The following is a 15,791-nucleotide window of genomic DNA, read 5'->3' on the forward strand; positions in this document are numbered from 1 at the left end:
AAAAACTTTTGTGTAGATTTCATATTATTTATTTCTTAAATGCTTTGTAGCATTAATGAGTAAAGCAATTTGGGTCTGAAGATTTCTTTTAAGGAAGATTTTAATTAAAAATTCAATTTCTCTAATTAAATATAAAATATTAAGTTACTGTTTTTCTTTTACAATTAATTTTAGTAATTTCCAACTTTTAAGAAATTGGTCCATTTCCTTTAAGTTATGGAATGTATAGTCATGTAGGTTAACTTTGTGAGTATACTGTTTAATGTCTGTACAGTCTATTGTGGTACATTCTCCCTCATTATGATATTGGCAATTTGTGTCCTCTCTCCTTTTTTTTTCTCTTAAGATCTAACATTTGGTTTCATTGCATTTGTTCATTGCTTTTCTGTTTTCTATATCAATTATTTATGCTCTTAGCATTATCATTTCCTCTTTATCCTTGTTTTGAGCTTAATTTGCTCTTCTACTAGTATTTTGTTAAAGTGACCCTCAAGTAATAGATTTCAAGTTTTCTACGTATCCACTAAATTATCCTTTTATTTCTCCTCTACTGGCCTTTGTGCTATTATTGCTACACATTTTGCTTTTACAAATGCTACTAAATCCCAAATAAGTTGTTATTTTAAAAATTAAATTGTTATTGCTTAAAATGATTTTATAAATTAAAAGATCTTTCATTTGTACCCACATATTTACTATTTCCAGTACTCTCCTTTCCATTATGTATGTTAAAATTTCAATTTGGTATTACTTTTCTTCGGTGTGATGATTTCCTTTAACAGTTTTGATAATGTATATCTGCTAGGGATGTATTTTATACTTTGGTATGAGTGGATGAACTTTTTTTAAATTTATTTTTTATAATTTTTTTAAATCTTATTATTATTATACTTTAAGTTTTAGGGTACATGTGCACAACGTGCAGGTTTGTTACATATGTATACTTTTATATTGCTTTTTTTATATATAAAATTCTAAGTTAACTTATTTTTTTCTTTCAGCACATTAAGAATGTTGCCCCATTGTTTTCTGTGTTGCATTGTTTCCGTGAGATATATCCTACCATTGTCATATTTGTTCTCCTATACATAAAGTGCAGTTATTTTCTCTGGCTGCATTTAAGATTTTCTCTTTTCTATGAATTTCAATTATTAGAGTATGAAATACCTTGGTGCCATTTTCTTCATCGTTCTTATTTGTGGGATATATTGAGCTTCTTGGGTATGTGGGTTCATAGATTTCATCAAATTTGTAAAATTTTCAACTGTTCGTTTTTAGATAATTTTCTTCTACTTCCCACCTTCTGTGACTCAAAAAATATGGATGGTAGGTTGAATGACATTGGCTCACAATTCATTGTTGCTCCATTCATTTATTTCTCATATTTTTCTCTCTACTTTTCATTTTGAATACTTTTTATTTGTATGTATTAAAGTTCACTATATTTTTTCTTCTGCAGTAGCTAATCTGCTGTTAAAACTATCCAGTGCATTTGCCATTTCATATGCTATATTTTGTCTCTAGAATTTCAATCAATGTGGATCTTTTAAAAAAATCTATTTTGTTCTAATCTTGCTTGTGCTTTCTTCTACCTTATTGAACATATGGATTGCAGAAATAATAGCTGTTTTTTAATTCTTCTCTACTAATTTCACACCCTTTTTTATTCTGTTTTTCTTATTGCTTTCTCACAGGAATATGGGTTGTATATTTTCCTATTTCTTTGCATGCTTGGTAATTCTTCGTTTAAAATCAGATATTATAAATCTTGTTTTTGGGTACTGTCTGTTTTTGTAGTATTTGAATATGTTTGCCTTTGTTTGGGGATATATTTAAGTTACTAGGAATTGGTTTGGTTCTTTTGAAGTTTGCTTTTGTCAGGCAAATCTAGAATTGCCTTTATTCTAGATCTAATTTGCTCCATTACTCAGGCAATACCCTTGTGAGGACTTTTTTAAATGCCTCTTGAAATATGATGTTTTCCAATCTGGCTAGTGGGAACATAACTATTCCTGGTCCTCCGTGAGTTCTGAGGATTGATTTGCCTGTTTCTTTATTGTGGTTCTTTCTCTGTCCTCATCAGTTTCATCACACACTTGAGCTGATCATTATTCAGAAACTTGAAGGGTCCCTCAGCAGATTTCTGAAGCTCTCTCCATATGCAGTTTTCTCCTTCACTGTGCAATGTTCTCTCCAGTACACTGTTCCTCAAATTGTAGGCACCCTTGTACTTTCTGAACTCTGAACTATGTCTTCTCAACACAGAGAGACTCCTAGCCTTTTTGGGCTCCTTTCACCTGAGCTATTGTCTGGAAACTTTCCCAAGGCAGTAAGTTGGGACATTCATAAGGCTCATCTTGTCTCCCTTCTCTCAAGAATCATGGTCCTGTGCTGCCTTTTGTCAAAGGTCTAAAATTCATTATTTTCTATTTTTTTCTGTTTTTGTTTGTTTGTTTGTTTGTGTTTAGATATTTAAGGTAAAAGAGGAAATCCTGTTACTGTTACTTCATCATTGCTACAAGCAGAAATTCAGGTGACCTTTTGGAGTGGTGGAGTGGGAATGCTTTAGGAGTCTGGATACCTCCATCCTATTAAGCTCTTAAGCTTCATTACTTGCTAGTCTTGTGACTTTAGCAGAGATAATTGACCTCTGGAACCTCAGTTCCTTCATCTGGAAAATGGGACTATAAAACCTGTCCTATTCTTCTTCAAATGATGTGTCATCTTCATTAAAATACTTAATAAACTGTAATGTGCTACGCCAAGCCTATTTTTGTTACTAGTTAACATATCATCAACTGGCCATCAGTACTGCGAATAACTCTTTTAAAGTACATCAATCCACTCCTACACAATTTATATATGAACCTCAAATGAAGGATATGTACATTATGATATTATGATGGCAAAAAAAAGACTGATCCTGAGATCCCTGTCTATGCAATAAGAGTTTAATCTTTCAAAATGTTTAAGAATGTGAAAGTTAAGCCCAACAAATAGCATCGTGTCCACATATGCATGGAAGCCACTCCAGAATTTTTTAGTACAAATTTAATATTACAAAAAGCTTTTTTTTTTTTTTTTCTGAGATGGAGCTTCGCTCTTGTTGCCCAGGCTGAAGTGCAATGGCGCGATTTCGGCTCACTGCAGCCTCCACCTCCTGGATTCAAGCAATTCTCCTGCCTCAGCCTCCGAGTAGCTAAGATTACAGGCACTGGCCACCATGCCCGGCTAATTTTTGTATTTTAGTAGAGATGGGGATTCACCTCTCTATTTACTTTATTTTAAAATCATCTCACCAAGTTTTTAGATATTGTAAAAAATAAATTCCAGCATCTTCAAAGCATAAAGTCTAGTGACAGACATCTGTTTATTCTAATACTATGAGAGTATATTATCTGTTTATTAAGCTAGAATTTACTGAAATGTATTGTACACATCTCTTATCTGTCTTTTTAGAGATAAAACTAACTTATATTGCTTAGGTGAAAATAGAAACAAAAGGAGATTTTAATAAAAACTTATCATATGATTTTCTCAGGGCACAAAGAAATTGTTCACTGACCTCGCTTTAAAACACACTTAAAATTATGTAATTAATATTCAGTTTTGCCAGCTACATAAAACATATTCATAGTGACATGAACACAAATTGCAAGAAAATTTTATGTACACATACTCCACATAAATATATGAAAATATAAAGGGACATATATGTCTATAGCTACATCCCTAATGACTAAATTCTAAAGAAAGCTTCTACCAAATAAATGCATTAGCAAGTAAATATACTGGATCTCAGAATGTTTAATCAATGATAAAAATGTATTAGCCTTTAATGACACTTGCTTTATTCACATGGTAATGTGTTCAAATAATATACACCTAAAACTATAAATACCTAATCATACCATCAGATATCAGAAAGAATAAGTACCTAGTATTTGATAGCACAACAGGGTGACTATAGTCAAAATAATTTAATTATATATTTTAAAATAACTAAAAAAGTATAACTGAATTGTTTGTAACACAAAGGATAAACGCTTAAGGGAATGGATAGCCCATTTTCCATGATGTGATTATTATGCACTGCATGCTTATATCAAAATATCTCATGTACCCCATAAATGTGTACACCTACTATGTACCCACAAAATTTAAGAATAAAAAAATTAAAAATACTAAAAAAAAGTAAAAAGATCAATTTCAAATGGATAAACAGCTGAATGACAAAAACATAAATAGGGACTCAACTGAATGACTATTTCCTTTGGCTCTGTTTTTATGTAATCCCACATGCATCCATCCATACAAAATATATGACAGTGATATATGGCACTAATGACCAGTGATATACAGCGTCTCCGAATGAGCTAAGTAGTACCTTGATTCATTCATATTCGTTGAGTAAATTTTGTTTCAATAAATTGTGTTTCTTTGTACATTTCTAGCCCTAAAAAATGTGCAGGTAAATCACTTCTATGTTTCACTGGAGAGTGTTTGTACTGCCACAACCATTGAAAGCTAACATTTCACAATCTTGCAAATCACAGTCTTGTTAATACTTTTAAAATGTAGGTTGTATTTTAACTTACTAATGAGGGAAGTACATACACAAAGAGATAGACTATTTAATTATCTTACAACTCTCATTCCTGATTTTACATCAACCTGCACAAATTAAGGGGAAAAAGATTTAGTCACACATTAGAGGTTAGGGGGATATCCCTCAAAGTACACCATCAAGTGGTAAGTAGGTAACATTATATAAACATACACATATATAGTGTAGAAACAACATACAAACACACATGTATTTAGACAATGAAAATGTGAAAGCATAAATTTATCCCCATTGAGAAAAGGAAACTCTTGTACAACTTTGGTGGGGATTTAAATTAGTACAGTCATTATGGAAAACAGTATAGAGGTCTCTAAAAAATTAAAAATAGAACTCCTACCACATATGATTCAGCAATCCCACTTCTCAATATATAGCCAAAGGAAATAAAATCAGTATCTTGAAGATATATCTGCACTCCCATGTTCACTCACTGCAGTATTATTCACAATAGCCAAGATACGGAGTCAACCTAAGTGTCTATCAACAGATGAATGGATAAAGAAAATGTGGCATATATACAAAATGGAATACCATTCAGCATTGACAAAGAAAAAATAATCTTGTAATTTGCAACTACATAGGGGAACCTCGAGGACTTTATATTAAGTGAAATAAGCCAGGCACAGAAAGACAAATACTGCGCGATCTCACATATGTGGAATCTAAAAAAAAAAAAAGTCAAATTCATAGAAGCAGAGAGTAGAATGGTAGTTATCAAGGCTGGAGAACAGTGAGGGATTGGGTAGATGTTGATCAAGGAATACAAAATTTTAGTTAGACAGGAAGAATAAGTTCAAGAGATCTATTGTATAACATGGTGACTACAGTTAATAACAATGTATTGGATGCTTGAAAATTGCTAAGAGAGTGGATTTTACATGTTTTCACCACAAAATAAGTATGTGAGGTAACTGATTTGTTATTAGCTTGATTTAGCTGTTCCACAATGTGTACATATATCCAATCACCATGTTACACACTATAAACATATATATTTTTGCCAATCAAATAATGAAGGATTATCCCCACAAATACTTTAAAGAGTAAGAAAATGCATAATGTAATCATGCTCCAGACTTCTTGTCAAAAAAATAAAAATAAAGAAATTGCATAATGACTTAAAAGTCTCATAGAGTAGAACCCCAAATCTGATAGCCACAGGTAAAACTCCTCCTTTATTCTTCAAATGAAAAAAATAAAACAAAAACAAAAGATACTTAAGGCAGAATATCTCAAACAGAGATCCAAAGATAGATTTTGTCAGTGTAGGAAAAATTTTGCTTTTGTTTTTGGGGGTAGCCTCTAAAAGTTGGAAAAGCCAAGGAAACAAAACCTTCTCTAGAGGTGCCAAAAAGGAAAGTACTGCTGACATATTTATTTTAACCCAAAAAGACCCATTCAGACTTGTGCCTTCTGGAACCATAAGATAATAAATTTGGGTTGTTCTAGGGCAATAATTTTGTGGTGATATATTATGGCAGCAAAGAGACAACATACCATTCCCCTTGAGGATGTTGGTGACAGTGAACCCAATACAACTATATTCTTCTGTAACACTCTGTTGAAAAGTCAAGTAATTAGGATAAATATCATTTCAATGGTAAAGCCATTGCTGTCACCAATGTGAGTGGATATACTCAGAGGCTTAGCGATTTTACCTATGACATTGGTGTAGTTTTTTTCTCTTAATGATACAATGCATACTTCAGAATGGAACAAAGCTGATCTGTATTTGTCATACAATGTATAATGGAGAATGCTTAGATCGCATATTTCTTTACAAATGCGAAAACAGACAAAAGAAAATTCAAGTTTTTGTTTCTATGACCACCAGCTCTTAAAAGTCTCTGTTGTACAGGAAGTAAGATTTCACTTTACTTCAGTTCTTCTCAGACATTAATATACATATTAGTAAGTAACTGGGAGGTCTTGTTAAAATGCGGATTCTGATTCAGTATATCTAGTGTGGGGCCAGGAGATTTTGCAGTTTCTAAGCATCTCCCAGGTGGTGTTCATGCTACCACTCTATGGAACACACTTTGAATAGCAAGGGAGGGATTCAACAATCCCTACCTGAGGCTCCATATCACAAACAATACTGAATTCAAAATGTTTCTCTCTGCATTCAGTATTACTAGTTGAGAGAAGAAAAATAATCTCAAACTGACTTCCAGCATCTTTTAACCATTTATTAGTGATGGAAGTGAGCCTAAATAAAGTGTCTGACTCATTACTTTATTAACTAACATAGATATTCAAAAATAAATTCATGTGGCTATACTTTTGTCTTAGAATAATGAGGAGTCAGGACTGAGCATTCTAATACCTAATGTAATATTTCCCACTATTACAGAATATATTTCTTCTTCCACATTTTACAATGCCTGGATCTCTTCCAATTGTTGCTTTGTTGAGAGGTGATATGGTTTGACTCTGTGTCCCCACCCAAGTCTTATCTGGAATTGTAATCCCCACATGTGGAGGGAGTAACCTGATGGAAAATGACTGGATCATGGGGGCGGTTTCCCCCATGCTGTTCTCATGATCATGAGTGAAATGGTGTAAAAGTGTTTGGCAGTTCCCACCTCGCTCTTACTCTCTCCTGCTGCCATGTAAGACGTGCCTTGCATTTCTTTCAACTTCCACAATGATTGTAAATTTCCTGAGGCCTCCCCAGCCATGTGGAACTGTGAGTCAGTTAAATATCTTTTCTTTATAAATTACCTAGTCTCGAGAAGTTCTTTATAGCAGTGTGGAAACAAATTAGTACAAGGGGATTTCAACACAACAAATTTTCGGTCTATGAAAGGGCAAAGCTATTTTGAAAATGCATCTCAGATAATTACTTTCTTAAATGGCACAGCTATTCCATCCATAAAACATACAATAGGTACATTAAGCTAGCCAAATAAGAAAATATTGAATCATTAAATTAGTGTATTAGAAAAGTTATATAATAATATAATCTATGTTTTAATAAAATCCACTCATGAAGTGCTTTCAACATTGGTTGGTTTGACAGTAAGAAAGAATATGGGTTTATGTGCCTTCTGCCAGTGAAGCCATTGGAGGTCAGCACAATGAGCCCTTTCCCCTTAACTTCAGCCTTTATTTATGTAAAAAATGTCATCTCCACTAAGGAAAAAAAAAGGAAAATATTACAGGTATTAGAGGTTCAGAAGGAGAAAAGAAACTAGGGGAAAATATACATGTTATATGACTGTGTGTGTGTGTGTGTGTGTGTATGAATTTACATATACGTGTGTGTGTGTGTGTGTGTATACACATAAATTTTTTGAAAAACAATGAAGATAGGCCTCACTGTAGCTCCTTAACTTATACCTGGTAGCTTAACAGTTGAGCATACAGTGTCTAGAATAACACCTGCCCTCAAATCCTGGCTTTGCCACTTAGTAGTATATGACCTTGCATGAGCACCATACACTAATATTTGCCTAATAACAAAAGTGCTTAGGGGAGTATATAAGCCACATGTTTGCATGACTGTTTTTAGAAGCTTGAAAGAAACTGTCCCTAACTCCAAGGGAAAAGAAGCTAAGGAGATAGTTTGCTAAATTTTGCCACCCTGACAATAATAGCCTCAAAGATTCTAAGGATCAACCCAAATGCACATATGTCTAGTTGTTAAATAATAGGACACCTTTTGTGAAACAAAAGGTAAGACAGATATTGTTCTAGATTTCTTTACAGATGGAAGATGTAAGGTGAAGCATTTAATTGACTAACAGTATAATTTCATGTATCCAGTTGCCTTATACCTAGATCTCTGGTTTAATCCAGGCAATTTTGCCACTAGTTGGCACAAGAATGACCTCATTTGGACAGACAGGTTTCAACTTATTTCCTTAAAATTTTATGCAGAATGGAAAGGTATTAGGATATCAGTGATAGCTTCTGAATATGCCAGTGTCTCAAGCTCCCTTCTTATGCATAATATATCTCTAGAATTATCGATATTTGCTCCCAAACTAGTGTACCTAGATATAGTGTACTCAATACAAGTATATTAAGAAACCACCAATTTCAGTTTTAGCTCACTGACTCCACAATAAAATAAAAATCAACAATTCAAATTTTATTTATTCTGTTGGAGATTACACTATAAAAATATAATTCCCTCTGGAAGTATGATACAATTTTAAAAGCAGAAGGAAATAAATGTTTTTAAAATGTATTTTATGCAAATTTTCATGCTATATTTTTTCAATCAAGACTGAGAGAGTGTGTTTTAATAAAATATCTAAAACAAATGTAGGTATACACCATTTATTTGGGTAATCTTACAAATCTCTAACTTTGTAGAAGTAATATGGTGTTTATGGAATGTATGCACACACACACACACACACACACACACACACACACACACACACATCTCAGATTCCAGAGATTTAGATCCTAGCTAAAGCTCTGCCAAAAGTTCATTATATTGACCTTAGTCAAGCATAACTTGGTGATTAGAAGTCAAACCCGTGATTGGGTCTTGACTGTGACGTATAGTAGCTGTGTGGTCCTGGGAAAATCAACTGCTTTGAAATATGTTTTCTCATTTGTAAAATGGGAAATAATACTATACACTCTTTCATATAGATTTTGTGATGTTTAAATGTAATAAGATATATAAAGTTTTTAGCACAATGCCTGGCACTAAGTGCTTAATAAATATTAGTGTTTATTAATGCTAGTAAAGTACCTCACTTCTTTGGGCTTCAGATTCTTTACTTGTAAAATAAGGGGATTGGCTTATCACTATAAAATCTCTCCCAACTTAAACTCTACAACTTAAATGAGAAAACCCAATGTCATCCTCCCAGATAGAAATTGTAAAACAAGCCTTAAAAAACGCATGTCACACTCAGTTTTTTTCATATTTTATTTTGGGCTCTCTAAACTTAACAGCATATTTCTAAGCACCACATTCTATCCAGAGTTGCTTAAGTTTGATCAGTTTTCTCTATTGGTCTATGTGTAAATGTCTAGGAAAGTCTCAATTACTATGAAAGCTGGCTATAAGCTAAAACAGCTTTGAGGAGTTTCATATAATATAGGTAATCAGAGAAAAGGTCAAAGGATTTTCCCTTACAATGAATAACATTCATGGTTCACTTACAATTATCTACAATAATGATGTTCTAATTTACAGGTTAAAACACCCTTCAGACTGCTTTTAATCTATGTTTCTAAGTCAAAAACTTTTATGTGATATTGGGATGGTACCTCAAAGTGAGGCAGGAGCCAAAGTGAAATATGTGAAAAACCTCTGTATGAAACCATAATCACACTGTCATTCAAGTAAAACGAGCTCTGCAGAAGAATGCAATTTGAAGCCTGAAGGATAGGAAAGTGACAACCAATATATAATAGCAATTGTAACAACCATCACAAAGGTCATCTCTGATTCAAGAGATGTACACATGAAAACTATCAGGAATAATCAATATAAGATAGCAATTGTAGATAAAATGTAATAAAAAGTGAGTAATTTGTGTATTTTTAAAGATACATGATACAATGTCACCAAAGAGAAGTATAGAACAGTGGAATACCTCTTTATTTAGTATTTTTCAAACTGAGAAGATTACAGACAGAACCTCTTCTGGGATAGTGTTCCCTCCCTTGATCTTGTTTATGAGGACATGATATATTTGAAGGCCACCCAGTAAATAGAGATCTGTGTAATTTCTTTCCTCTGACTTAAATTCAGGTTTATTTAGTCATTGGAGGGTCTCTTGCCTGACCAACGATGAATAAGCTTTCACATGTATACAGTTCTCTCTATAAAAATACTGCTTCATTTCCCAGGAAATTGTTTTCTAGGGGAAAAAAAAAGAACATATATAGCTACAGCTATTTTGATTATTCAGTTAGGTGCTATGGGCAGATAATAAAGAAATGGATGTCATGGTCCCAACCCTTAAGGAAGGGTTTAAAATCCATTTGAGGATTCCAGTCTAACACACACACACACACACACACACACAACAACAACAACAACAACAATAACAAAGGAGACAATACAAAGCAGCCTACAAGCAACTAACAAAGACAATAATTGACGTGGGAATTCTAGGAAAAGTGAGGTCAGTAACACTTGCATTAGATTAATTTGGAAGGCACTTGTGGAGGGGTGGAATTTGAGTTGAGTTTCCAAAGTGGGTAAGATGTGAATTATGTAGAAGGAGGACATCCTACGTGGAGGGGACAGTAATGGTATAAGGAGCAAAGATATAAAGGTAGATTGTTCTCACTAACTGAACATTAAAGAGAGTTGTGCCCTGAAGAATAAAGGAAAATAAGGCTCCTGCATTACAATGAGGCCAGATTATGAAGTTCTTTAAAATTCGGGTGGAATTAGGCTTGAAACAATAGAAAATAAGGGGCCAAGAATATGTTGGTTAAAGAAAGTGATTTGTTGAAAGAAGTGTTCACAGACCACTAAGGATTTGGGGCACAGGTGAAGACTGCCTAGGAAGCTCCTACAGTGACTACATGGGTGCTGATGAGAATTTAGATTGTAAAGGAGGAACGTGTGAGAAGGCTTTCAAAGGAAAATTTACCAGTACTTGATAATCCCTTAACTATGAGAAATAGAGAAAAATCCAGATTCCTCTGTAAAATTGTCAGGAGTCTATGATCAGACTGTGGAGGGCAATTAATAACAATACTGTACAATCTATTCATCAATAATAGACAGGCAGGTTGTTCTTCATTGTTCCCCACAACTGCTGAGTAATAAAAGCCTTAATATAAGTAATATAACAGCCTTCCCAATGAAGGGGTGCGGGAAAGGGCTTCTCAAAATAATATTTGACTTCAGTGATTCTAGCAGAGACACAGAGGAAGAAGATGGACTCAGCACCAAACTTGATATGGAGACTAAATATTTATAAGAGATTGTCCCAAGAAGAGAAAAAGGCAAGAAAGGAAAATTTCTTACTCTGAGCCTCCACAATGGACTTCATTCTGAGTCTTTCCAAAGAATTTAAGGTTCAAAATCATTGTCACCTCAAATCAGAGCTCCTTTAAGATTAAAAGTTAGATTCATTTGAATAATTAGTGTTTATTTTTCCAAACAGTTTCTTATCTGATAAACTTCTATTTCACAAATTCTTCTAGAGTTCATTCCGTTATTCAACATCTAATATCTGGAAATTTAGAATGTGCCTTCTCAAATTTATAAGGCTCATTTTGAAGCTGGATTTACTCAGTAGGCCAGTTTAAACTAAATGGCAGATCTCTCCCCATCAACTGGTGCTTGAAACATCACAAGGCCTGGGATGTTCCCTGGGTCTCTACTTTCCAAATTCAGCACAGAAATGGCTCAGCCCCACCTCTTCCAGTGAAACCGAAACAGCGCCTGTGCAAACTCCACGCCTATTCTCCTCACAGTGACCCACCCCGCCCCCACCAAGGTGCTAATGCGCAGGCGCTACGCTCTCAGTGCCTTTGAGTAGGGCTGTGAGAAATCTACTGTCCAGTGAAATCTAGAAGTGGTAGAATTCAATCCCCTCCTTTCTTCGGAGGCAGAGGCGCCACTTCCTCCTACTACCCGTCCAGAAGCGCGTCCCAAACATCGCTCTCTCTCCGAGCAAGGTCCTTCGCTCTCTGGCAATCCCCATTGTATCCCTATCCGCAGCTCGTTTCTAATCTCACTCAGCCGCCAGCCTTCGCTAGGAGGATAGAGGCACTTGGCTCCCTAGGATCCGCACCAGTTTTTTGTCTGCCTGTTTAGGCCACGGAACCTATGGACCCCCCCACCCCCAACCTCGCCCCAAACTAGGAAAAGCATTATCCCGGTGCTTTGCCCTCCCTCCTTCGCCCTTCTCACCCACTTAGTGTTGAGTGCTTACCTCGGGTGTGGTGCGGTTACGAAAGGAATCAGCGGAACCCAGATCAGGCCGCTGCTGGGGCAGGCGGATTCAGCGAGATTTTTCCTGGGTCTCCAGTGCCGCTTCAGACAATGAAATCAGCGTGTCCGATCATCAATTCTCATCATGATCGTGACGTCACAAAAGACAGCGGCCAATGGGAGCCTGCGATCAGCTCAGGACAGTCCCTGGCCTCAGCCCAGAACCCAAGAGTTGGGAGGGGGGAAGAGAGATGGCTGCCTGCAACTGGACTGCCTCTTCCTCACACAAATCAGCTACATCTACGGCCAGGGCTCTCTATACCTTCCTGAATAGCTGTGAACACCGAGCATCCCTGTGACTATAGTAGTTACATGCCAGCCATTTGAGCAGGTGCTGCCTGGCCTTCCAACTTGACATTGGGTTTTAACAAAATTGTTACATGCTGCCAAAATCAAATGATAGCATAAGGAAATACAGTCCTTTGTGGTCAGTGTTCGATTGACAGGTAAATATTCAGTTTTACTAAAATCAATAAGGTGTCCATCGAGCCTTTAGAATTTTACAGTAAAAGCAAGTGTACTATTATACGTGACTGGTTGGCTCTGATGACTGAGGAAAGAAACTATGGTTTTTATTCATCCAACCTCAATTCCTATTCTGGCAGAAGCTTCTTGGGTGATCACCATTATACCATTCCAGAAAAGAAGTCAAGCCACATGTTACATCATTTAACAGTCACTTGATATACTTCCCAGATTTGCTGGATGCCATGAGAGATATAGAATTCATTGATTCTCTGCTATCATAGAACTTGCAACATCGTTTGGAAGACAAGATTAGCACACAGTAAATATTCACAACAATAAAATAAAGTACATGATCATGTGCTCAGTCATTAACTACAGACAAGAGCTACATTATTTAATTATTGGAGACATCAGTGAGGTGAAAAGTCAGGGAAGCATTTTATGTAATTAAAACTTGAGATGGTTCTTGAATGGTGGATAAGAGCAGATGGAAGTCACCGTCTTAAAGGGGAAAGATAGGCAAAGGTAGAGACGTATAAATTCATATGATGTGAGGAAGCCCATGATGAAATCAGCTTGACAAATAGAGGGCATATGCTGAGGACTAGTGGTAGATGGAATTGGCTAATAATAAAAGCCTTTGAAAATAGGCAGATAACTTTTATTTGATTAAAAGCCACCAAAAGCCATAAAGCATGTGACCTCAATCCTCTATAGTCAATTATCTACAGAGGAGTTTAGGTGATTTTTTAAAACAAAAGCCAGATTATGCTCAACTTCAGATTGTTCAATGGTTTCCTTTCACATATACAATAAAATGCAGATTTCTTACCATGTCCTCAAAGCCCTAAATGATCTGGCCTCCGCCATCTTTCTGACCTCACCTCCTGTCACTCAGCCACTAATTCACAAATATATTAATCTTCTATTTCTCAAACAAGTCAAGCTCATGTCCACAGCAGTGACCCTGTACTGTTGTACTGTCTGATCTTTATATGACTTACTCCATCACTTGATTGAAATCTTTGCTCAAATGCAACCTCTTTAAAGAGGTTTTCCTATTTAAAATTGTGATATCCTTAACACTCTCTATACCCTTTTTTCTGTTTCATTTTTCTTCATAGTATTTATTATTATTAAATGTATTTTATATATTTAGTTATTGCAAATGTAAGCTCTATGAAGGCAGGGATTTTTGTCTGTTTTGTTTATTATTATATCCCTCAAATCTAGAAAGCCTCTAAATACAAAGTAGACAAATAAGTAAGTACGTATTGAATGAATGACTGAAAGCACATTTTTCAAGTCATTAATTTGCATTTTCAGTAACATTGCGATAGGCTGGAGTGAGAGAGACCAGTTAGACAGTTGTAATGCTAACCCAGCTTCTAGGTGACACACCCCTAGATTAGGGTGTTAAAAATGATGAAATATGAGACTTTCAAAGAAGGAATTATATGGGTAAAGTGGAGGATTCAGAAAAAGCCTATTGATAATTGATTAACGTATTCATAAATTACGTTTATGAATTACCTGAAACTGAAGTGATATGAGAAAAAGGATCAGAGTCCCTACCCTTGAAGGGTTTATAATGCAAAGACACAAGAAGACTTGTATGAAATCACAGTACAAATAGAGGCAATTAAATTAATCCAATTTTTCCTTCCTCTTTTCCCCTCTCACTCTGTAGCTAAGCCACTAGTATGTTTGAAGACTGTACCTTCAAATTAGGCCCCAAATCTGAATACTCTGTACCTCCTCTATCACCGTTACACTAAAGTCACTGTAACTTCTAGTTTGAAATACTGCAAAAGCATCTTACATCGTTTATTTTCTTCCACTCTTGTCCTTCTTCAAAAGTTTCTCTTAACATCAGTCAAAATATTCTTTATAAAGTTTGAATCAGACCATATCACTACCTGATTTAAAGCCCTCCAAATGCATCTCATTACATTAACAATAAAGTCCCAAGTCCTTTCTATGGTGTATTTCCCACCATTTGTTCCTGCCCTGGCTCATTATGCTGTAGCTACTCTGGTCTTTTTGGTTATCTGTTTTCTCTCTGGAATGCCTATTTCCTCTTCAGAGACTTTGCATTTGCTATTATTTCTTGGGAAACTCTTTCCCCAGATCTTCACATAGCATACTTCACATAATTCAGGCTGTCTGCTAAAATGTTACCTTCTCAGATGGGACTTCATGGACCAATCAATTTAAAATAGCATTGCCCCACCACCACCACAATTATCTGTCTCCTGTATCTTCTTGCTGTGCTTAATTTTTCTCATATCACTATGGAAAAATACATTATTAGTTTTGTTGGTTAGTTATTTTGCCTTTCCCCAACAGAATGAAAAGTTCAAGGGGGTAGGAAGTTGCCTCTCTTATTACTGTTATATCTCCAGTACCTAGAGTTGTAGTGGTACCTAGCATTAAGTAGGCACTCAATGGGTCTTTGTTGAATGAATAGATAGGGGAGAGCATAGATTGTGTAGTGCAGTAATAGGTATTCAGGGATGAGAGATGTTTTCAATACATGCCTAAGATACCGGTACCTGTCCTGTTCACAATATATCAATTAAAAGCATGTTTATTGAACTTGTAAGTAAAAAGTATCTAAGTAGAATAATTAAACCATGGATATTAACCAAGATTTCAAAGATCTCAAAAGACTCAACAAACAAATGCAATAAAATGAAGTTTGACATGGATAAACAGTAAGTCTTGATTCTAGGTTTACAAAAATCAGTTGCATAAGTACAGGAA

General features: G+C 35.3%; 1 protein-coding gene across 13 annotated transcripts in view, besides 1 other annotated feature; it reads right to left on the reverse strand.

The window, feature by feature from the left end:
- HDX (highly divergent homeobox) overlaps window positions 1-12,610 on the reverse strand; it is a 184,576-nt gene extending 171,966 nt beyond the window's left edge. For 11 of the 13 annotated variants that reach the window (XR_001755653.2, XR_001755652.2, XR_938392.2 and 8 more), the window contains exon 1: window positions 12,499-12,610. The gene's annotated coding sequence lies outside the window, so the exon portion shown is untranslated. Of the gene's footprint in view, window positions 1-11,585; window positions 11,669-12,498 lie in introns of all 13 variants that reach the window. The other 2 variants (XM_047441828.1, XM_011530863.3) reach the window with 1 other exon arrangement.
- Window positions 12,634-12,783: a silencer, noted in NCBI's record as "silent region_20911". NCBI's record gives its function as "represses an Ori minimal core promoter by ATAC-STARR-seq in GM12878 lymphoblastoid cells {active_cell/tissue: GM12878}" and the evidence as "EXISTENCE:reporter gene assay evidence [ECO:0000049][PMID:35858748]".

Source organism: Homo sapiens, chromosome X (assembly GCF_000001405.40).
Source record: "Homo sapiens chromosome X, GRCh38.p14 Primary Assembly".
In the NCBI taxonomy this organism is placed as follows: domain Eukaryota; kingdom Metazoa; phylum Chordata; class Mammalia; order Primates; family Hominidae; genus Homo; species Homo sapiens.